The sequence below is a fragment of the Homo sapiens genome, chromosome 2 (assembly GCF_000001405.40).
Source record: "Homo sapiens chromosome 2, GRCh38.p14 Primary Assembly".
In the NCBI taxonomy this organism is placed as follows: Eukaryota; Metazoa; Chordata; class Mammalia; order Primates; family Hominidae; genus Homo; species Homo sapiens.
In genome coordinates this window covers 109,062,818-109,087,771 of record NC_000002.12, presented here as the reverse complement: position 1 = coordinate 109,087,771, position 24,954 = coordinate 109,062,818, and the positions used below count along the sequence as shown (strand labels likewise).

The 24,954-nt window shown below is 45.8% G+C and overlaps 1 protein-coding gene across 1 annotated transcript in view, besides 1 other annotated feature; it reads right to left on the bottom strand.

The window, feature by feature from the left end:
- The window catches only part of RANBP2 (RAN binding protein 2), a 1,122,820-nt gene that overhangs the window by 754,530 nt on the left and 343,336 nt on the right, over positions 1-24,954 (bottom strand). The gene's annotated exons all lie outside the window — the stretch shown is intronic.
- Positions 17,558-18,502: an enhancer, noted in NCBI's record as "OCT4-NANOG-H3K27ac hESC enhancer chr2:109685726-109686670 (GRCh37/hg19 assembly coordinates)". NCBI's record gives its function as "activates a minimal SCP1, AML or CMV promoter by ChIP-STARR-seq in naive H9 embryonic stem cells {active_cell/tissue: H9 hESC(naive)}" and the evidence as "EXISTENCE:reporter gene assay evidence [ECO:0000049][PMID:30033119]".

Here is a 24,954-nt window from a genome sequence, read left to right as displayed (position 1 = left end):
AGCATCTGCTTCCTCCACTACCTGACCACATCCTTCCAAGCTCCCTGTTGCAGCTCATAGGTTCCACCCACTGTTTCCCACTCTAGGTATCATTGTTCCCATTTTAAACTTCAATAAGCTGGGGCCCAGAGAGGTTCAGTAATTTGCCCTAGATAACATAGTGTTAGCAGGAGGACTTGAACCCAAAACTGTCTGACTCCAAGTCTCCTGGCCTTGACCTTATGCTGTGCTGCCTGACAGTTTAAACGTAGTTGACCCTCCAAAGCCCCTTGGTTATGGAGTGGAGAGAGCCCTGCGCTCAGAGTTAGGAACAAGTCCAAGTCTGGTCTGTTTTGCCGGATAGGTGATCTCACCCTCAGGCGCGTCCGTTGCTACATCTGTGAGAATGAGAGGAGGGGCCAGGAGATCCCTAAAGAACCCCCGCAGCAGCATTTTGTGAGGCAATACAAGGAAAAGAAGGGGAAAACACAAGAGAGAGTCCACCTCCCTTGCCAAGAGTCATCCAAAGTGTCTGCAGCATACACCAGCAGGCCTAGTGCCCAGCCTGGTCATCCTGTTGAATGTCCTGCAATGGCCACGTCCAGCTCCCATGGCCCTGACCAGAGCCTTCCGAGCATCTCCAAGGACCCCAAAGGGAACAGAGGGCTCTTTCTGGCCCAGGGACAATTTGCGGTTTTTCAGTTCATTCGCCTTGTCTTCAGGGGGTCCCCTGTCCCAACTTGCTACCTAAAAATCCTGGTGCTTTCAAAAGACTTCTTAACAACCCTTCAACCAAGCACATGTGAGTTCATCCTTTATCTGACAGAATTGATGTGCTGTGGGCCCGGGAGCTTAGTATCGCCCCTTGTGAAGAGCTCATTTGTAGGGCCAAGGGCAAGCCTCTCCATGTGGCCTTGGCAGTTGCAGGTAAAGATGATGTGGGCTTGGGGAGGCACTGTTTTCAGCCACACAAAGGACTCCTTTCCTGGGTCTCTCTGTTGCTTGGAAAGCTGTGGCTGCACCCCAGCAAGTCTGAGTGAACAGGGAAGACGGTCCCAAGAGCAGTGGTGACAGGACCTTGCTGCTCATGGTGTTGTCCCACAGCAGAGTCAGTGTCACCTGGCAGGGGCCTTATGGAATGCAATCTCAGGCCCTGGACCTGCTGAGACAGAGCCTGCACTTTACAAAGGTTGCAGAAGACTCACTCGATGGGCAGGGAAGTCTGACACACCCAAGACTGGTCTTGGCTCAGCCCAGCTCGGTTGCCATGAGGGTCTGTCCCTTCCCACAAGACAGCCTTGGCAAGTTTCCAACCTGAGCCTTATCTGTAAAGTAAAACGAGACCCCCACCAATCCTTGGGCTTGTTTGGAGAATTACATGAGATCATATATAGAAAAGGACTTCACACAGCATTTGGTGCATGGCAATCGAGAAATATTAGGGCCCTGCATCCAAGAGTTCCAGGAGCTCCTTCAATGGTAGGAATGAACAAGTGCCTTTACAATGACCGCCCCCCTCCCCCAACAACCTCAGACGCTAACAGGTACCTGCACCCGAGTGCTCAGCAGCACTGTTGACAACAGCCAGAGGTGGAAGCAGCCCAAGTGTCCATTGATGGATGACTGGATAAGCAAAACGTGCTACATGCCTGCAATGGAATATTATTCAGCCATGAAAAGGAAGGAAACTCTGACACATGCTACAACATGGATGAAACTTGAGGACGTTATGCTTTGTGAAATAAGCCCATCACCAAAGGACAAATATGGTATGATTCCACTAATATGAACTCCCTAGAACAGTTAAGAGATGGATGGTGGTGATGGCAGTACATGGCATGAATGTACTTAATGCCACGGAACTGTGCACTTAAAAATGGTTTTGATGGGCCAGGTGTGGTGGCTCACACCTGTAATCCCAGCACTTTGGGAGGCCAAGGTGGGTGGATCGCCTGAGGCCAGGAGTTCAGAACCAGCCTGGTCAACATGGTGAAACTCTGTCTCTACTAAAAAAAAATAAAAAAATTAGCCAGGCGTGGTGGCAGGTGCCTGTAATCCCAGCTACTTGGGAGGCTGAGGCAGGAGAATCACTTGAACCTGAGAGGCAGAGGTTGCAGTGAGCCAAGATTGTGCCATTACACTCCAGCCTGGGCAACAAGAGTGAAACTCCATCTCAAAAAAAAAAAAAAAAGCCAGGTGTGGTGGTTCACGCCTGTAATCCCAGCACTTTGGGAGGCTGAGGCAGGCGGATCACGAGGTCAGGAGATTGAGACCATCCTGGCTAACATGGTGAAATCCCATCTCTACTAAAAGTACAAAAAATTAGCGAGGCGTGGTGGCGGGCGCGTGTAGGCCCAGCTACTTGGGAGGCTGAGGCAGGAGAATGGCGTGAACTCAGGAGGCGGAGATTGCAGTGAGCCGAGATTGCGCCACTGCACTCCAGCCTGGGCGACAGAGCAAGACTCTATCTAAAAAAAATAAATAAATGGTTTTGATGGTAAACTTTGTTATGCATATTTTACCACAATACAAAAACTGGATTAACTGATCACTGATGTGCCCCCTGCTATGGAGTGGTGGAGCTCAAAGAAGAGTAGCACAGCCTCTCAAACGGGAATGGGCTCAGCTCCCTCATAACGAAGCAGGAAGGGCTCAAACCCGGTCCTCCTCGGCTTCCTGGAGTCTCTTATTCCTTTGGAGGTCTTACCTGGCGGCCAGGAGGTGGACCCGTGTTGTTCAGCAATACAGGCAGATGATTCTCTGTCCCCCGCAGTGAGAGCAACTGCTCTGTCATTGCCCAAGGTTCACCAGGTCAGGCTCAGGTGTTATCAACAGAGATTCACTCAAAATGCTGGACTGTAATTTGCCAAGGCCTGCAGAGATAAATTCCCTCTGCAACTAACTTGCCTCCCTCCGTAGGCATCAGTTTCCTCTTGGCAGTGCCCTCCACTATTTGAAGTTCATGCTCCTTGATGGAAAAAACGAACAAAATATGAGTGGCGTCCACAGTGTTCATGCTGTCATTTCTGCTGACAAGTGGTGGGTCCTGCGTGCCTCTCCTCCTGGTCCTCAGGATGAGGAACGCCCTTTGTGTTGTTCCTAACAGCCTCACAGGTCTCAGCTCCTTCGAACCTGGACCCCAGCTGGCACAACCTGGCAGTCTGAGTCACTCCACTTGTTTCACCTCTGAGAAGCAAAGACAAGAGGCTACACTCTAGTATCCTACAGAGATGGCAATGTCACTGCCAACATCAACCTGGTCTTGGGCCAGCTCCTGTTGTAGAGACTTCCAGGAATCTGAATGACTAGGGGAGGGCTCCTCAGGCCTGTCATGTCACTCCAGTATCATCCAGTGCTTACAGCAACAGCCTCTGTCCTGAAAGAGTCACAGCTGCTATCAGTCAATGTAGATGCCTTTCTCACTTGAAAATCAGTCTTCTTTGTTCTCCGTCTCCAAATATCCAACGCCCTTCTCACCACTGTGAAGATTTTCCTAGATGTTTTTCGGTCTCAACATTCCAGATGAGTTTGGTTGACGTTAACTTGAAGTTGGAGAAATAGGCCATGCTGGTACCTAGTTAGTTCAATTTCTGTTGGAGATCTTGAATTGTAGGTTTTCCTCCAGAAAAAGAAGGAGGAGTTTTGAGAGGCAGCAGAAGGTGCCATGGATGGAGCTACTTGGGGGAGGCGAAGCTGTGCCAGGAACCTAACTCCTAAAGTTCCACACCAATTGGCTTTGCAATTGGCTGGTGTCAGTTTTAGGACATCTGGAGGGAAAGGGTGACACAAAGCTTTAAGATCAAGGTAAATCATGATCTCGCTGGAGACCACTCATGCTGGCAGGCCTCTTGCTATGCAGCTGATTGGCTACTGGACCGGGTGGGGTTTGGGGCACAGGAGGGGAGAGTATGCAGATAGGAGAGAAGCCGAGGGAAATTGAAAAATGTTTTGGAAAAGCTGCCAAGGAAAATGAGAAAGGGAGGTGATGACACTGGGTAAAGAGGAGTGCTGTGTTGTGCACTGCAGGTGGGAATGTAAGAGGGTGCAGCCACGGCAGAAAACAGGATGGTGGTTCTGCAGCAAATTAAATATAGAATCACCATATGATCCAGCAGTCCCACTTCTGAGTATATCCAGAAGAACTGAAAGCAGAGTCCCCGAGAGATATTTGCACACCCATGTTCACAGCAACGTTATTCACAACAGCAAAGAGGCAGAAGCAAGCCGAGTGTGCATCCCAAGTGTCCATCAGAGGATGAATGAATAAAGAAAGTGTGCTACATCCATACAATGGATATGATTCAGTCTTAAAAAGAAAGGAAATTCTGACACACGCTGCAGCATGGATGAAGCTGGAGGCCGTGATGCTCTGGGAAATAAGCTGGTCACTAAACGACAAATACTGTGTGGTTTCATTAATATGAGGTACTTAGGGAAGACAAGTTCACAGAGACAGAAAGTAGAATAGTGGGTGCCAGGGGCTGTGGTGGGTGGAGAGAATGAGGAGTTAGCGCTTGATGGGTACAGGGTTTCAGTCTGAGAAGGTACAAAGAGTTATAGAGATGGATGGTGGTGATGGTTGTACAACAATGTGAATGTACTTAATGCCACTGACCTGTATGCTTAAAATGGTTTAAATGGTAATTTTCTTTAAGAGATGGGGTCTTGGCCGGGCATGGTGGCTCATGCCTGTAATTCTAGCACTTTGGGAGGCCGAGGCAGGTGGATCACGTGGTCAGGAGATTGAGACCATCCTGGCTAACATAGCGAAACCCCGTCTCTACTAAAAATACAAAAAAATTAGCCAGGTATGGTGGCAGATGCCTGTAGTCCCAGCTACTCAGGAGGCTGAGGCAGGAGAATGGCGTGAACCCAGGAGGCGGAGCTTGCAGTGAGCTGAGATGGCGCCACTGCACTCCAGCCTGGGAGACAGAGTGAGACTCCGTCTCAAAAAAAAAAAAAAAAAAGACATGGGGTCTTGATATGTCGTCCAGGCTGGAGTGCAGTCATTATTTACAGGTGCCATCATAGTGCACTGCAGCCTCCAACTCCCAACCTCACAGAGTTTTCCTGCCTCAGCCTCTGAAGTACCTGGGACCATAGGCATAGGCCACTGTGCCCGCTCAAAATGGTAAATTTTATGTTTTGTATATATTACCATGATAAAAACTTTTTGTTTTAAAAAGGGGTGCTAGGCCGGGTGTGGTGGCTCACACCTGTAATCCCAGCACTTTGGGAGGCCAAGGCAGGTGGATCACGAGGTCAGGAGATCGACACTAGCCTGTCCAGCATGGTGAAACCCCATCTCTACTAAAAATACAAAAATTGGCCAGATGTGGTGGCATGCACCTGTAGTCCCAGCTACTCGGGAGGCTGAGGCAGGAGAATGGTGTGAACCCGGGAAGCGGAGGTTGCAGTGAGCCAAGATAGCACCACTGCACTCTAGCCTGGGCCACAGAGAGAGACTCTGTCTCAAAAAAATAAATAAATAAAATAAAATAAAATAAAAAAGGGGTGCTAAGGAATACCAGGAGCTGACTGAGTCCTGGAATCCTAACCTTGGGTCAGAGCTGCTACCTAAGGAGAGATCTGAAGTCTGGAAGCAGAAGTCCTTACTATCCAAAGACAGAAATGCTAACTGTTGATTAGCTGCACACATCTGGTTAGCCCATATGGGAATGGATTCTGGAGGCAGCTGAAGCATGGGTAGAGCACTTCAGTGTGGCAGTTCCTGCAGCCGAGGTGGGCTCCGCCTTTGCATTTGGGTTGACAGATGCTGGAGTCCACAGCAGCATGCCCCACACAAAGCCAGGATGCAGAAATGCAGTGAGCAGTGTGGAGGACAAATACGGAGATGAAGAACCAGACAGACTTTTCCTATGAAAACAGCTGGCCATCCCCCAGTGATCTCCCCGACAAGACCCCAGAAGATGCCTCGTTGGCAAGTGCAACTGAATAGCAAGGATGTGTTTCTGCAAGCCATGTCACTGCTGCCAGGCACTGTGGTTGCAAAAAGGGCTCCCTGGCGGCGGCAGGTTGTGAAGTCCTGGGATGGTGGGGCCGAGGGGTTGCTCAAGTGCCAGAGCAGGGAATGAGTTACCACAGCAGGTGTCAGGATGGGCAAGGTTACCAGGATGCTCTTGCCCCTTGCAGGAGAGGTTCAGAGGTGGAGTTGACCATGGGGTTGGTTCCCCAGGACCACAAGCGACAGGCAGTCCCCAGAGGCCCTTGTGATCTGTCTCATAAACCCTGAGCACGATGGAGGCTTGACCTAATCTGTCATGTGACAGTCACCCCCACCTCAAGCCCAGCATTGAGTCAGCCACAGACGCGGAGCCCCATGTGAAAAAACAGGCCAGAAGCACTGTTGTTGGGGACCACAGATGTTTCCAAAAACAGCCTCGGGCAGCTCCCCATCCCTGCATGGGGGGCTGCCCCCATCTGGAGGTGATGTATATTTCCTTTCCCCCAAATATCAGATGTGGCCTTAGGACTCAATTCGATCAATAGAAAACAGAGGAAATGATGTGGAGCCAATTTCCCACAGGTAATGTAAAATTTTCTAGTAACTGCATTTAAAAAGCAAAAAGAAACAAGTGAAATTAATTTCAATGTATTTTACTTAATACCCAGTGTGTGCAGATATCATTTTAACCTGAGTGAGATTTTATGTCCTTTCTTCACGTTTAGTCTTCGAAGTCCAGTGAGTATTGTGCACCTGCAGCACATCTCAGTTGGGCAGGCACACATCAAGTGCTGCATGGCCATGCATGGCTGGTAGCTAGCATAGTGGATGGCAGCAGAAGAATCTGTGAGTTTTGAATGTTGTGTCAGTGGCACAGCATCCAGCCTGGCTCTCCAGCCCTCCTGGAGGTTTTGTGAACTATCCAATATCCTCTTAATACATTTCTGTTCCTTTTAAATCATCCAGACTGTCTGTTGTTTGCAACAGAGAGTTCTAATTAATACAACCCCCTACTAGTTTAATGATTTCCTGGATGTAGGAACGAGGTTACACACATACATAATTTTACTTGCTAGAGTACTGGTTTTTTAATATTAGACATTTCTCCAGTGTTAACATGGCTTCTATAATGTTCCCTTCATAGATACTAAAATAAAGAAATGATAAAATATACCCAAGAATAGTTCTTGAAAGGTTGGTCACTATCTCCAGGGGAAAAGAATGCACCTTATAGCAAATACACATGCACATTTGTAGATGTCCTGTCCAATCCTGGGTGACAGTGAGATAGATGAGAGCTGTCAGAGAGTGCAGCATCTGGAGACCAGCTGCAACCTGGTTCCCACTCTCCAGTTTCTTCAGTTGCTCCCCACTTCTTGGTCTCGGAACAGGCATCAACTTATTCCATCCCTCCGACACTCTCCCAAAGCTCCACATCACCTCCAGCACCTTCCAGTCCTTCTGCATCCCACGCTTATGGCAGGCTCCTGATGGGGCAGTCTCCCCTGCTGCCGCCACTTCCCAGCCTCAACCCCAGCCTCTGCTGCCCAGCCACTCAAACTGCTGCCCTCTCAGCTATAACACGCCCTGGAAACCAGAATTGTGGGAGTGGTTGTCAGCTCCTCTTTCTCCCATTCACCTCCCATTTTTGATTAACCATTAAAATCTTGCTGCGTTTTGCCAAGTTTCAAATATTGATGGGCCCCATCTCCTTTTCCCTCCTCTGTCACTGGTCTAGCTCGAAGCCTCCACATTTCCTGCATTGAGTCCACAATCATCGGAGGAGATGCTTAGAGCCCTATTCCGGGTATTCCATAGTCTGAAGCCCTTTGCTGTCTTTCTGTCGTCCCAGAAATGCGTCCTCATGCCTCAGCAGGCACAGGGTCCTTGGTGACTCACACCCATGGCCGTGTAGCCCCGTCCTGCCTCTCAGCAGTCTAGGGACAGGGTGGCCTGTGATGTGTTTCAGGCCTCCCCTCTGCCTGGAGTTCCCACCTGTCTGTGTAGAGAATTCCTACCCCTCCTGGAAGGCTCACATCAGGAATCCCCTTCCCAGGGAGCCTCCCCAACCCAGGCTGAGCTGGGTGGGCTCCACCAGGCCTTGAGTGTTATGTGTGTGTGTGCTGTCTCCCCACCATGCATATCTTCATATTCCAGCGTTTAGCACTGGAGCTTCTCAATTGACAGTCCCCTCTGCTGGTTGGGACCGGACAGGGCCAGCTGTGCCATCTGATGGCTCACCCTGGGCCAGAAGCAGTGCCTTTTTATTGGTTTGTTTTTAAAATATTTTAATTGAAAGTATATACATTTAAGGTATACAGCACGATGTTTTGATATACAGTTGACTCTTTAACAACGAAGGGGTTAGGGGCACCAACTCCCCGAACAGTAAAAAATCCACAAATAACTTTTGACTCCCCCAAAACTTAACTATTAATACCCTAGTGTTGACAGGAAGCCTTGCAGATAACACAAACAGTCAATTCATACAAATTTTGTATCTTACGTGTATTGAGTACTGCATTCTTACAACAAAGTAAGTTAGGGAAAAGAAAATATTAAGAAAATCATAAGGAAGAGAAACCGTATTTACTATTCATTAAGTGGAAGTGGATCACCCTAAAGGTCCTCATCCTCCTCGTCTTTAGTTGAGGGGGAGGAGGAGGAGGAGGAGGGGTTGGCCTTGCTGGCAGAGGCAGAAGAAAATCCCCATATAAGTGGACTCTTGTAATTTAAACGCATGTTGTTCAAGGGTCAACTGTACATATACATCGTGAACCGATTACCAGTCAAGCTACTTAACATATCCATCCCTTCACATGGTCACCTTTTTTTTTGAAACAGAGTCTCGCTCCGTTGCCCAGGCTGGAAAGCAATTGTGCGATCTCGGCTCACTGCAAGCTCCGCCTCCCGGGTTCATGCCATTCTCCTGCCCCAGCCTCCCAAGTAGCTGGGACTACGGGTGTGTGCCACCACACCCGGCTATTTTTTTTTTTTTTTTGTATTTTTAGTTGAAATGGGGTTTCACCATGTTAGCCAGAATGGTCTCGATCTCCTGACCTCGTGATCTGCCCGCCTTGGCCTCCCAAAGTGCTGGGATTACAGGCGCGCACCAACGCGCCCGGCCCACATGGTCACCTTTTTGTGTGTGGTGAGAATACTTAGGATCTGCTCTCTTAGCAAATTTTAAATATGCCATGGGTATTGTTAACCATAGTCCTCATGCTTTACCTTAGACCCCTAGAACTTATCCACCCTACATAACTGAAGCTTCATATCCTTTGACCAACATCACCACAATTACCCCCATCCCACCTCACCTCACCCCTGTCCCTGGTAACCATTATTCTACTCTCTGCTTCTATGTATTCATCTTTTATTGACTCTACAAACAAGTGAGATCATATGATATTTGCTTTTTGTGTCTGGCTTTTTCACTTAGCATAATGTCCCACGTTGTTGCAAATGGCATAACTTCCTTCTTTTTTAAGGCTGAATAATACTCCACTGCATATATATATACACGCTATATATATATATATATATATATATATATATACGCGCTATATATATATATATACACGCTATATATATATATACACGCTATATATATATACGCTATATATATACGCTATATATATATGCTATATATATACACGCTATATATATATACATGCTATATATATACACGCTATATATATATACACGCTATATATATATATATATATATATATATATATATATATATATTCATCTGTCAATGGACAGTTAGGTTGTTTCCATATCTTGGCTATTATGAGTAATGCTGCAGTGAACATGAGAGTGCAAATATCTCTTCAAGATACTGAGTTCATTTCCTTTGGATATATACCCAGAAGAGACATTGCTGAATCATATGATAGTTTTATTTTTTATTTTTTAAGGGATCTCTATACTGTTTTCCATAATAGGTACGCCAATTTGCATTCCCATGAACAGTGTATAAGAGTTCTCTTTTCTCCACATCCTCACCAACACTTGTTATCTCATGTTTTTGACAATAGCCACCCTAACAGATGTGAGATGAAATCTCATTCTAGTTTTGATTTGCATTTCCCTGATGATAGTGATGTTGGGTACTTTTTCATATACCTATTGGACATTTGTATGTATGTCCTCTTTCGAAAACTATCTATTCAAGTCCTTTGCCCATTTTTAATCAGGTTATTCATCTTTTGCTATAGAGTTATATGTGTACCTAATATATTTTGTATACTAACACCCTTATCAGATATATGGGTTGTATTTTCTCCCATTCTGTTGGTTGCTTTTTCATTTCATTGATTCATTCCTTTCCTGTGCAGAAGCTTCTAGTTTAATCTAGTCCCACTTGTTTATTTTTGCATTTGTTGCTTGTGCATTTGGTGTTATATCCAAAAAAATCATTGCCAAGACATTAAGTGGACTTTATTCATTAAGTGGAAGCAGATCATCATAAAAATCTTTATCAAAAAACATTCATCCTTGAATCTTCTTCAAGGAGATTTTTCTCTATGTTTCCGTGTAGGAGTTTTATGGTTTAAGGTCTTACATTTAAGTTTTTAATCCATTTTGAGCTGACTTTTGTATATGGTGTGAGATAAAGTCCTACTTTTATTCTTTTGCATGTGGATATCCAGTTTTTCCAAAACCATTTATTTAGACTATCTTTCCCCATTGTGTATTCTTGGGGTCCTTGTTGAAAATTAGTTAGCCATATTTTCGTGAGCTTATTTTGGGGCTATTTTGTTCCATTGGTTTCTGTGTCTGTTTTTATGCCAATACCATTGAGTTTTGATTAGTATGGCTTTGCAGTATCATTTGAAATCAGGGAGTGCAATGACTCTAACTTTCTTCTTCTTTCTCCAGATTGCCTTAGCTATTCAGGATCTTTTGTGGTACCATATAAATTTCAGAATTGTTTTCCTATTTCTGAGAAAAATGCCCTTAGAATTTTGATAGGGATTGCATTCAACATGTAGGTCACTTTGGGCAGTATAAGTGTTTACACAATATTAATTCTTCCAATTAATTAAGATGAGATATCGTTCCATTTCTTTGTGTCTTCTTCAATTTTTTTCATTAGTGTTTTATAATTTTCAGTGTACAAATTCTTTTTCACCTCCTTGGTTAAATTTATTTCTAAATATTTTTATGCTATTGTAAATGAGATTGTTCCTTGATTTCCTTTTTAGATATTTCAATGTTGGTATAAGGAAATGCTATTAATTTTTGTATATTGATTTTGTATCTTAAAAATTTACTAAACTTATCAGATCTGATTTTTAAATGGAATTATTAGGATTTTCTACATGTAGGACCATGTCACCCAGAAACAGACAATTTTCCTTGTTTAAGTTGGATATTTTTTATTTCTTTTTCCTATCTAATTTATCTGGCTAGAACTTCTAGTACTGTGTTGAATAGACATGGTGAGACCAAGAAAGGAAAAGCTTTTAATTTTTCTTCAATTATTATGATGTTAGTTATAGACTTTTCCTAATTGGTCTTTATTGGATTAAGGTAAGTTCCTTCCATACATATTTTGTTTAGAGTTTTTGTCATAAATGGATATTGATTTTTTTCAAATATTTTCTGCATCTATTGAGATGGTCATTTTTTTTTAATCTTTCATTCTGTTAATGTGGTGCATTACATTGACTTATTTGCCTATATTGAACCAAACCTGCATCCCAGGGATAAATCCCACTTTAGTCACAATGTATAAACTTTTTAGTGTGCTAATGAATTCGCTTTGCTAATATTTTATTGAGGATTTTTGCATCTATGTTCATCAGAGATATTGGCATGTGGTTTTCTTTTCTTGTGGTTTCTTTGGTTCTGATATCAGGGTAATGCTGACCTCATAAAATGAGTTTGGAAGTGTTTCCTCTTTTTCTATTTTTAGAAGAGTTTAAGAAGTATTAATAATTCTTTGAATCCATGAAAGCCATCGATTTTTCTTTTTTGGGAGGTCTTTGATTAATGCCTCAATCTCCTTATTTGTAACTCATCTGTTAAGGTTTTCTGTTGCTTCTTGATTAAGTCTTGGTAGGTTGCATGCTTCTAGGAATTTATCCATTTCTTCTACTTTATCCAATATGTTGGCATATAATTGTTCATAATGGTCTTTTATGATCCTTTTTATTTCTCAGATATCCATTGTAATGTCTTCTCTCATTTTTTATTTCATTTATTTGAATCCATTCTTCCTTTTTTTTTTTTTTTTTGTTTGTCTAAGGGCATGTTGATTTTATTTACCTTTTTTAAAGAAAACAACTCTGGGCCAGGCACGGTGGCTCATGCCTATAATCCCAGCACTTTGGGAGGCCAAGGCGGGCAGATCACCTGAGGTCAGCAGTTCGAGACCAGCCTGGCCAACATGGTGAAACCCCGTCTCTACTTAAAAATACAAAAATTAGCTGGGCGTGGTGGCAGGTGCCTGTAATCCTAGCTACTCGGGGGGCTGAGGCAGGAGAATTGCTTGAACCCGGTAGGCAGTGGTTGCAGTGAGCCGAGATTGTGCCATTGCACTCCAGCCTGTGGGACAAGAATGAGACTTCATCTCAAACAAACAAACAAACAAACAACCTCTGATTTTGCGGGGTTTTTCTATTGCTTTTCTATTCCCTACTTATTTCTGCTCTGATCTTTGTAATTTCTTTTCTTCTGCTAACTTTGGGCTTAGTTTGTTCCTTTTCTAGTTCCTTAAGGTACGACATTAGCTCAATTTACTTGAGATCTTTCTTTCTTCTTCTTCTTTTTTTTTTTTTTTTTTTTTTTTGAGATGGAGACTCGCTCTGTCACCCAGGCTGGAGTGCAGTGGTGTGATCTCGGCTCACTACAATCTCCACCTCCCGGATCCCGGTTAAGCAATTCTCCTGCCTCAGCCTCCCTAGTAGCTGGGGCTACAGGTGCCCACCACCATGCCCAGCTAATTTTTGTATTTTTAGTAGAGATGGGGTTTCACCATGTTGGCCAGGCTGGTCTTGAACTCCTGACCTCGTGATCCTCCTGACTCAGCCTCCCAAAGTGCTGAGATTACAGGCATGAACCTGGCCAATCCATTTACATTTTAAGTAATTATTACTATTATTATTATTATTATTTGAGATGCAGTCTTGCTCTGTTGCCCAGCCTGGAGTCTAGCGGTGTGATCTTGGCTCACTGCTGCCTCCACTTCCCAGGTTCAAGCTATTCTCTGCCTCAGCCTCCCAAGTAGCTGGGATTACAGGCACATGCCACCACACCCTGCTAATTTTTGTATTTTTTAGTAGAGATGGGGCTTCATCATGTTGGCCAGGCTGGTCTTGAACTCCTGGTCTCAAGTGATCTACCTGCCTTGGCCTCCCAGAGTGCTGGGATTACAGGCATAAGCCGCCACATTCAGCCATTTTAAGTAATTATTGATAGGGCAAGATTTAGTATTGCCTTTTTTTTTTGAGACAGAGTCTTGCTCTGTTGTCCAGGCTGGAGTGCAGTGGTACAATCTCAGTTCACTGCAACCTCTGCCTCCCAGGTTCAAGCAATTCTTGTGCTTCAGCCTCCCGAGTAGCTGGATTACAGGCTCCTGCCACTACACCTGGCTAAATTTTGTGTATTTCTAGTAGAGACCAGGTTTCACTATGTTGGCCAGGTTGGTCTCAAACTCCTGACCTCAAGTGATCTGCTCGTCTCGGCCTTCCTAAGTGTTGGGATTACAGGTATGAACCACCATATTGCCATTTTTTTAAAACTGTTTTCTGTTTGTCTTGTAGTTCTTTTGTCCCTCTTTTTCTCTCTTGCTGTCTTCCTTTGTGTTTTATTGTTGGGTTTTGTTTGCCTGTTTTTGTTGTGCTGTTTTGCATTGATAGGCTTTGTAACTTTTTTTCTTTTGTGTCATTTCTATAGGTAGTTTCTTTGTGGTTACCAGGGGCTTACATAACATATATTTATAACAGGTTAAACTGATAACACTTCTATAGAAGTACTCTGCAATTTTACCTCTCCTTATTCCACATTCTGTGTTACTGATATCATAATGTCTGAGTGTCTCATAATGCATATGTAGATCTGCTGGGTGGTGTTCATTAGTTTTTAAAGGTATCTTCACTGTTTTTCATTCTTTTTTCTTTTCTTCTCTCTCTCTTTTTTTTTCTTTTGAGACAGAGTCTCGCTCTGTTGCCCAGGCCTGAGTGCAGTGGCGCAATCTCAGCTCACTGCAACCTCAGCCTCCCAGGTTCAAGTAATCCTCCTGCCTCAGCCTCCCGAGTAGCTGGGATTACAGGTGCGTGCCACCACACCCAGCTAATTTTTTTGTATTTTTAGTAGAGATGGGGTTTCACCATGTTAGCCAGGATGGTCTCGATCTCCTGACCTCGTGATCCACCCACCTCAGCCTCCCAAAGTGTTGGGATTACAGGTGTGAGCCACTGTGCCTGGCCCTTCATTCTTTTTTCTTTTTAATGCTGTGACTGAATGATTGCCAATGACCAGTCCTTGAGTTCACTAATCCTTTCTTTCAGTTCACCTAGTCTGCTATTGAACCCCTCTATTAAATTTTTCTGTTCTTTTATTATATTCTTCAGCTCCGTGATTTCTGTTTGGCACTTTTTAATATTTTCTACCTTTTTGGTTGAAATTCTCACTTTATTCATGCATTGCTCTCCTGACCTCACTGAGCATCTTTGTGACAGGTCTTTTGATTTTTTGTCTGGTAAATCACATATCTCCATTCTGTTTGGGTCAGTTTCTGAAGATTTATCTTGTTCTTTTATTTATGGCATATTTCCTGTTTGTTCATTGTCTTTGACTCTCTGTGTTGGTTTCTGCACATTTGATAAAACAGCCACCTCCCTCAGTCTTCACAGATGAGCCTCCTCACAGCCCAGTCAGAGAGTCTGGGTGCCTCTCAAACCAGTGTGTTTGTCCAAAATGCTGTTCTTGTTCTTGGTGGCCCCAGGAGACTAGAGTGTGCCAAGTACCATCAGTGCCCTGAGACAGGTGAGTCAGGAGTCAGTCCTTCTAGTAGTTGTCAGAAAAGTTGGGGTGCTAGATGTGTGGTCCATTTCATCTCTCCTCACAGAGAAGCTAAGAGCAGAAGTTTATCTCCTACTTGCTCTGCACTGAGCTGGGAAGGGGAGCTGTGGCAAAGGTCTGCATGCTCATTCAGACTGCATACTCTTTCAAACTTTTGCTTTGCTCTCTGTCACCCCTAGCCTAGGGTCCCAGTGAATGTCAGGCCCTGTCAGTTCTTTGACACAGATGGTTTAGAGGCCAGACCCTCTGGTAGCAGCCAGAAAAGTTGGAGCCCAGACAGGTAGTCAACTCTTTCTAAGGAGAAGCTGGAGGCTTGAAAACCAGGACCTTCTTTGGTGCTCTCCCAAGCATGTGGTCAACCAGATGCCCTAAGTATCCAGGACTCCATGGTGAGGGCCCATGCAGGAAAGCCTGGAGAGTGAGTGCATCCTCTGGCCAGCACAGAGTTTCTTTCACGGAATCATGTGTGATTTGGGCCTCCAGAATAGCACTGATGCACTGATTCAGGAAAACACACTCACATTAGACACAGGATAAAGAATCCTCAGATACACTCACTGGCTCATAAACAAATCCAAAAGCATCTCTTCCTACCCAGTATTCTAAGTCTTCATCAATAAATCACTACATCCCACATAAGCCCAAGAATATGTAGTATGTTTTTAAATAACATTGCATATATAGACAGGGGCCCCACAACAAATATTTGGCCAGGGTTTCACACACACTAGAGGCAGCTCATCCTCAGTATTCCCATAAGACTTTGTGTTTACTTCTATAGCCTGTGATAACAACATTTGACACATTCAAACATATTCCTCTTTGTGATATATTCTGTTGTCACCTTCTATGATAACACCCTTTTGCTTTTCCTCCTATTGACATCTCTGCCATCTCCTCCTTCTCCATTGTCCTCTAAATGCTGGCATGTTCCTGTGTTTGCTCTTGGCCCCTCTAGCTCTCTTCCTCAGTTATTTCATCTATTATTGTGGCTCTGAATATGATCTACATGCTAATGAATCCCAAATCTTCATTTCTGGTCCTGCCCTCACCCCGAAACTCAAGACTGTTATCCAACTGCCAACCTAACATCTCTACATAAATGTCTTTTTTTTTTTGAGATAGAGTCTTGCTTTGTCACCCTTGCTAGAGTGCAGTGGTGTGATCTTGGCTCGCTGCAACCTCTACCTCCCAGGTTCAAGTGATTCTCATGCCTCAGCCTCCTGAGTAGCTGGGATTACAGGTGCACACCACCACACCCAGATAATTTTTGTATTTTTAGTAGAGACAGAGTTTCACCATGTTGGCCAGGCTGGTCTTGAACTCCTAACCTCAAGTGATCCGCCCACCTTGGCCTCCCAAAGTGTTGGGATTACTGCCGTGAGCCACTGTGCCTGGCCCTCTATGCAGATGTCTAATGGGTATCTAAATTTCACACATGCAAGACAGAATTGTTGATTGCATGCATGTATACTCCAAACCCATTTCCCTCCCAGTCTTCCATATCTCTGTATCCAGATGCTTAAGCCAAAAACCCAGGAGACATCCTTGAATTTACCTTTTCCATTACAGTTTGTGACTATTCTATCAGCAAGGCCTACTTTTCTTCTTCAGAATGTATCTCAAAGCCATGATCCTGTCTCCTCAGCCACCACCCTGGTCCAAGATGCTGCTCTATTGCTGTACTAGTGTGAAAGCACCACTGATCTCCCTGCTCTCCCTTTCCCCCTTGTAGTAGCTATAAATAAATACCTAAATATGGGTAATTTATAAAGAAAAGAGGTTTAATTTGCTCACATCTGCTCCTGGTGAGGCCTCAGGAAGCTCACAATAATGGTGGAAGATGAAGGAGCAGCCCGTGCCCCACATGGCGAGAGAGGGAGCAACAGTGGGAAGGGAGGGGTGCCGCACTCTATTTTTTTTTTTTTTTTTTAGATAGGGTCTGGCTTTGTTGCCCAGGCTGGAGTGCAGTGGCACAATCTTGGCTCACTGCAACCTCTGCCTCCTGGGCTCAAGTGATCCTCCCACCTCAGCCTCCCCGGTAGCTGGGACTATAGGCAGCGCACCATCACACCCGCCTAATATTTCTATTTTTAGTAGAGATGGGTTTCACCCTGTTTCCCAGGCTAGTGTCGAACTCCTGAGCTCAAGTGATCCTCCTGCCTTTACCTCCCAAAGTGCTGGGATCACAGGCGTGAGCCACGGCACTTGGCCACCATACTCTTTAAAACAGGCAGATCTCATGTGAACTACCAGACTGAGAACTCACTCACCACCAAGATGATGTCAGCAGCCATTCATGAAGGATCTGCTCCACGACCCAATCACCTCCCACCAGACCCCACCTCCAACACTGAGCATCACATTTCAACACGAGATTTGGAGAGGACAAACGTCCAAACTATATCACCCCACTATAATCCATTCTCTCAAAGCAGCTAGAGAACTCTTTTCATAAGGTAAATCAGTGCATCCCATTTCTCTACTTAAAATATTTCAATGACTTCCCATTCCCCTTAAACAACATCCAAATTCATTCCACAGCATAGTCATCAATGCTCCAGAGGGTCCAGCCCCTCCTGGCCCTTTAACACCTCCCTGTCTTTGTTCCCCCTCACTCACTCTGCTCCAGGCCCTTAGCACACTTTCTGCAAACTCATGCCTGCCTCACACCCTTTGAACGTATAGTCTCTCTGCCTGTCTTCCCAGCACGTCGCAGGCTGGCTCCCTTCCTGCCAGCATCACCTGTCCTGACTGGCCCTTCTTAATGGCCTTCCTTTGAGATGAAAAGAAGCTCTGTTACATCATAATCTCCTCCCTTGAGAACACTGATTACATTCTGAAAGTACACTGCTTATTCCTGTGCTCACAGTTCAATGTCTCTAGATTATAGGCGTTATGAGGACAGAGTACTGGTTTACAGTACAAAATTCCTGGGACATAGAACACTGCCCAGCACAAATAATGATTTGATCAATAATTGTTGAAGGAATAGACTAAATGAAGGAACTGACAACTCAAGGGAAAGAGTAATGACTCCATGAAAGAGCCAAAAAAGAAGAAAAAAAGTGTTATGTTGCTAGGTAAATAATATTTACATTCATCTGTTATCAACATTTTCAAAGCCTCTTTCAGCCTTAATCCCCACTGAGCCAGCAAGGTGAAACTCTGAACCACGTTCTGGAACAAAGTACGTTGTCTCAGGTGGCTGGCCAGGCCATGCCACTCACTCTTTGATGTTGCAAATCTTTAGCCAAAGGCTCTTAGGCTATCTGTCAGGAGAGGCCATTCATTGCCAGCAGGGCGGAAGGCACTCCCTGGAGCTTTGCTCCTGATGGCTTCACGAGTGAGGAAGGAAGCATTCAGTTGGCCATTTCTGCTCTCCAAGACACACGTCTGCCAACATGATTGCATCTACTACCATATGCCTTTTGATGTTTCATTCATAAGAAGTACACTATCCTATTGCAAAATTCCATGTGTCCAAATCAAACATCTGGGATCCTTGCACTCAAAGGCTGTATTGAGAATGGCTAGAAGTCTACTCTCTTGATTTATAAGCCCCCCTTTTTATGATCTCTATTTTATTGGGTTTTTCTTTAATTATTTTCCCTTGGTATATGTCTGAGATACATTACTCAAGATAGAAAATTTATTAGTACTATTTTGAGCATATTGTCTGCATTTTAAATGCAAAAAGCTGTTCAGTGAAACGCATGTGTTATGTGCAATGTATTTTAAAGGCCACCTGCTCCTTTTCTTGTCTCAAGATACCTGTCTAAGGGAGGAGTGCCATATGGGCAGAAATGGAAACACACTGAAATTATGAATAATAAGCTCCTCACAACCGATATAAGATTGTCAGCCATGGTAAAATCAATTGGTTTTTCCATTTTGCAGGAGGGACCACATAATGACAATAGCTGGAAGGTATTTAGTACTTACAAGCATTTTGACATATCATCATATTTGCTTATCTCACCAGCTTGCCAGATGAGGAGGAAAACAAATGGTATTCCAACTCAACGAATGAGGAAACAAAACCTCAGAGAGGTTAAGTGAGTTTCCCAGAGCTACACAGCTCATAATGGCCAACCTGGGGCTCAGACATGGGTCTCTGACTCCAAGTCCAACACTCTTCCCCTCTGTTGCACTGCCCAGGGGAAAAGCAGAGACTTTCCTGAAAACCTGAGGCACAGAAACAATACAAACCCATGAGAAATAATGATAATAATGACCAACATTTCCCCAGTGCTGTGTATGTGCCAGTCTCTGTTCGTTCCCCACTTACTGGGCATCCGTGATGTCAAGCCCTGTTCTGGGTGCTGGAGATGTTGCAGTGATCAAAACAGGGGACAGGGCCCTTGCCCTCAGACGGCTTACAGTCTGGATGCGGGTTTCTCAACCTCTTCTCTGTTGCCATCTGGGGTGGGGGTTCTTCGGGTGGGTGTTCTTAATCCTGTGCACTCCTGCCTGTGCCCACTGGGTGCCTAGAACACCCCACCCCCAGTTAGGATCACTCCAAATGTCTGTAGACACTGACAGATGGCCCATGGTTGAGAACCGCCATTCTAGAGGGAAGAACAGTTCCGCGAAAAGATGAAAAAGTAAACGACATGGTGTGTCAGAGGGGAATACACACTATGGATAAAAATGATCCAGGGAAGTGGGGTAGCCCCGTGAGGGGGTGGTGTGGGTGGCAGCAGTCAGGGCAGCTTCACTGAGGAGGTGACCTTGGAGCAAGCCTTACAGGGGAGCATGTGAGCAGGCAGGTGTGTGGGGATGTGCATTCCAGGAGAAGGAACAGCAAAGAGCAAAGTCCCCAGAGCAGCAGCAAGCCCAGCCTCCACCCAGCAGCTGGAGCTGGAGCCCTGTGGCTGAGGGAGGAAGGGGCTGGGATTGCCAGGGTCAGAACAGGGTGGTCGTGATGGAGGAGGGGGCAGGGTGGCTTGCAGGTGCATTTTGAAGCTGGAGCCCACAGCATTAGCTAGTGGACTAAATGTGAGGTGTGAGAGGGAGAAATGAATCCAAGATGACTCCAGGAATCAGCCTGAGCACCTGAAGGATTGCGCGGCCAGGAGAGGGTGGTTTGGGGAGCAGGGGCAGAGTCCGGGTTGATTCCAGTCAGCTGGCAACATCTACTAAATATTCTTCTTAGTGACTACATATAGATCTAGACCTGTGTGACCTTCCCAACACCCAGGAGAGACAGACACAGTCACATCCCCACTTACAGATGAAGACTTCAAGACGCAGAGCGGTGGAGGGACTTGCCCGAGTCCTGGAGCTGGGAGAACTCCCGAGACCCTGGGATGGTGGCATGGCCCCTGCACCTCCGCTGCCTCCCCCATGGTGAAAGTACAGCACAGGCGGGGCTGCGAGAGAGCAGCGGAGAGATTATGCAGTAGCTATCTTTGGAGGCGTCACTGCCCACGGTGTTTTTAGGATGAATAATTGCTTGAATTCCTCAAGGCTTTATAAATAGATGGAGAGGTAATTATACACAGCAGGACAAAATTGGCTGACTTTTTCTAATCCTTATTGCAGTGGCCTTCCCCTAGGAAAGCACAACAGGGCCCTCAAGTCACCAGGCCTCACTAGGCCTGCGTCCTCACTGTGCGTCCTTCGCTGAACAAGCCGACCCAGGCTGGCCTCACCCTCGACTTTTGTGTTCTTTCTTTGCAACATCAGGTTGTTTTTTTTTTTCTTTCTTTCTGTATTCCTTTTTATTTTGCCTCTCTGCTATATGTTGTGTTCTGCCGAGAAATTCCAAGCCTATGCCCTGGGATAAAACATTAGGTTTTCTGTCTGCGTCTTGTGCGCTTTACAAAAAATGGAGTATCAACGTGTTGAAAGGAAATAATATTGTTGTCAGAGCACCCTGGACATCTCTCAGCCTCAGAGAAGTCTTATTCCTGGGGGGTTCTTGGAACCTTTGGGGCTGCTCTTCTCCCTTTGTCCCTGGGGCCCCTCCTTCCTTTACCGCTCGGCTCTGTCATAATCTCCTCCTGTAACTCAGGCAGTCCTGGGCACAGCCTCCCATCGCCCCTGCCCCGCCATCCCCCAGTGAAGCCATCTGCTACATGCAACATGATTACTTCCCCAGGGGACTGAGTGACAATGCAGGAGGGGACAGACACAAGGGCCCTGGGTCTAGAAAGGCAGCTGGGGCCAGTTGCAAATGGAATCGGAATTGACCTGTGGGCAGCGGACACCAACTGCGTTTCTTTCAGTAGGAGGGAGCCTCACTCCTACTTGAGTTTAGAGGGCACCCCCCACAACACTGCTGAGTGTGGTGAGGGACAAGTTGGTGGGGGAACAGTTAGCGCTGTTTGCGTGGCGAGGTGTGGATGGAGAGGGCATGCCTTTATAAAAAAAGAATCCACGGCCAGCACGGTGGCTCACGCCTATAATCCCAGCACTTTGGGAGGCCGAGGTGGGCAGATCACGAGGTCAGGAGTTCAAGACCAGCCTGGCCAACATGGTGAAACCCCGTATCTACTAAAAATACAAAAATTAGCCAGGTGTGGTGGCAAACACCTGTAATTCTAGCTACTCAGTAGGCTGAGGCAGGAGAATCGCTTGAACCCAGGAGACGGAGGTTGCAGTGAGCTAAGATTTCGCCACTGCACTCCAGCCTGGGGGACAGAGCGATACTATGTCTCAGAAAAAAAAAAAAATACAGAATTAGCCGGGCATGGTGGCGCATGCCTGTAATCCCAGCTACTCGGGAGGCCGAGGCAGGAGAATTGCTTGAATCCGGGAGGCAGAGGTTACGGTGAGCCAAGATCATGCCATTGCACTCCAGCCTGGGCAACAAGAGTGAAACTCTGTCAAAAAAAATCCACAAGAGCTGGCAACAGAAGCTGAAGACTAGAGTGGAAAAAAATGATAGTATCTTAGGATGGAAAGGGCCTACATCACCTCACTTTGTTGCCTCTGCCTGCAGGAATTGCTGGGCAGCATTTGAGGCAGATGACAGGAAGCTCAAGCAGCTCGTAAGACGCGGAGGCCAGCACTCCACTGATAGGCTCTTCCCTCTTTGCACAAGGTTTCCTAACATTGAGTCCAAATTTGAATCTCTGAGACTTCCTACATGCATCCTTAACTTTTCTCTCTGGAGCTCTCAGGTGTCAGAGCATCACGATCTTTAAACAGCCACTACATCTCTCCACTGGACCGCCTCCTTTCCAGGCTGAGTGCCACCAGTGTTTGACCCTTTGCCAGCTTGCTCTCCTCCAGTTAGTCCCTGACACTTGGGGCTGCGCATGATCCAGCAGAAATGTCCTGGCTGGGCTGAACGAGGGCTGATTCCTCCATTCTACACAGGATGCTGCGGGGTTGGGAGTGACGCCCAGCAAGAACTGCAGAGTCGGCAGCCCCAAGGACCTGTCCTCCACAGAAACACGCACACAAAGATAAGCAAAAGCCGTCAGAATCAACTTTGTGGAACTCTGGGAAATAATCAAAGATTTACAGCAAGCAAGCAAAAAAAAGTGCACTAATGACTTAAATACAGCATTTGTGGAAATCTCAGTCAAACCTCTAGCTGACCATGAGCTACAGGACCAGGGACTTCAGAGAACACACATTGATGAAGAATATAGTCTTCAACTAGAGTGCCTCCTAATGTTGGCTTTGTTGGAAGCTGGGCCAACAGTATTTGCTAGTTTGCTTTGTGGTCAGCTATGCCTTTTCATTGGCTTAATGAGAAGCCAGGACTCCTGAACCTAAGTCTCAAGTTCATTTTTCAAGTCTAAGTGTTAGACATTAAATGAATCCCTATGATATTCCATTTTATTTATTTAAACCCCAAGGCTCCTGCCTGCCAAAATCTCGTGAAATTTTTATTTCATTATCCAGCTCATGCGCTATCCCTCCCAGATTTGTGCTTTCCATAATTTCTAAAGCATCTTGTCTATGTCTTTCTTAAAATTATTGATTAAAAAGTGTCAAACAGGACTGGATCAATACAGAGCCCCAGGCACATCAACAGAGGCCCCCATTTCAATAACCTTAGTTCTGTGGGTGCATTTATCCATCAAATACAACCCACAGGGATGTCTAACACACCAGAAGGTTTTACTCAGAAAAGAATATTAGTTTCATTTGGCTCCATGTATCTGTTTAAAAATCCACTTTTTAAACAGAAGAAATCTTTCACTTTTTAACGAATTTCCGTAGCACTTTCTCTGCATTTCCATTACAGCACATTTAACACCCTACTGTGTGAAGGTTCAGGTCACATCTAAAGGTAAAGACTTTGCACTGAGAGAACTGGGTGCAAATCAAAGCTCTGCCATTTACCAGTTTGTTTTTGTTTTTTTTTTTTTTTTGAGACAGAGTCTTGCTCTGTCACCCAGGCTGGAGTGGAGTGGCGTGATCTCAGCTCACTGCAAACTCCGCCTCCCGGGTTCATACCATTCTTCTGCCTCAGCCTCCCGAGTAGCTGGGACTACAGGCACCCGACACCATGCCCGGCTAATTTTTGTATTTTTAGTAGAGACGGGGTTTCACCGTGGTCTTGATCTCCTGACCTTGTGATCCGCCCACCTCGGCATCCCAAAGTGCTGGGATTACAGGCGTGAGCCACCCCGCCCGGCCTGCCATTTACCAGTTCTAAGACTCAGTCTCTTCATGTCTAAAATGGGAATAACATTAGTACATACCTTACAGAGTTATCACAGGATTAAAAAAGATACAGACAATAAACACAGTGCTTGGCACTTTAGAACTCATAGTATCTCTTCTCGTGTAAGCTCAGTGCAGCACGCCTAGAATCCAACCCACTCACATGAAACGGACATGATGGCTGGACCTGTGGCAGCCATTTTATAGCCATGAAGCAACAATCATGAGAATAAGCCCAAAAGAATTACACCTACCAATTATTGCCGAATCCCTAAACCAAAGCCACAATTTAGTATTATGGGAAGGGGAAAAAAATCTCTTTGCAGAAGACACTACGTTGTTTTTTTGTTTTTTTTTTTTCTATTACTTGCAGTTACCCCTTTTGGCCAGGCTGCCCTAACTCAAGCCACTAACTAGATAACGATTTGTCAGAAATTACATCTCCATTTAAGGAAGAAAATCAGTTGGGAATTTGTAGTGCACATGCATGGGTATCTGTATCTCTTGTATGTGCCTGTGTGTGTGTACCCAGGTGCCTGCAGGGAAGTTCGAGCTGTTTGTTCCAATGCCAGTTCTACAGCCATTGAGCAAGAAACCCCGGGACGGTTCCCTGTCGCGCCTGTGGAGCAGCAGACAGCAGGTGTTTCTGGCCGACTTGCAGCCACGCGGGGGCCTCTGCTGCATTCATCCTCCATGCGCTCGTTTCTGAAGCTGCATGCCTGCTGAAGGAAAGGCCACAGCAAAGCCAGGCGCTGCTGATGTGGACCCTACTGTGTCGAGATCTCCCAGGGCTCCTGAAGGAGAGAAAAGAAAACCCAGGCACAGGGCATTTTGTGAGGGAGGGAACAGGAAATGCTCAAAGGTTCCACCGTAATTTGAAGCAAGATCAAAAGCCCCAGGAGTGGGTGGCTCTCCAGCATCTTCCCAGCCCCCGGGGATATACAAGCATAGTTGGAAGACCTCCAGGTCTCACTCAGAGCCCAGGGACCCAACAGGCACAAGCCAGAGGGGGAGGATGTGTCTGCACAACCCTAGGGGAATGGCATGGGAGGGTCTCAGGTTGGCATGGTGGTGGGGGGCACACACTCCAGCAGGTGGACAAGGCGAGGAAGGCGCTGCCAAGAAAGGAGAAAGGGGACATCAAGGAGGTGGCTCCTGTCCTGAGGCCGTAGGCCCTGGCTCTTCTGGCACAGGGTCAGCGTGGGTGGGTGGGCTGCCTGCAGTTGGCACCAGCTCTGTCTGCACAGGTGGTCGCCCTGAGGCAGGCAGAGGCAACAGCCTGCCAGCCCCCTTCACCTCCACCCGCTCCCAGGGCCCCCAACACATCCCTCCACCCCCTCACC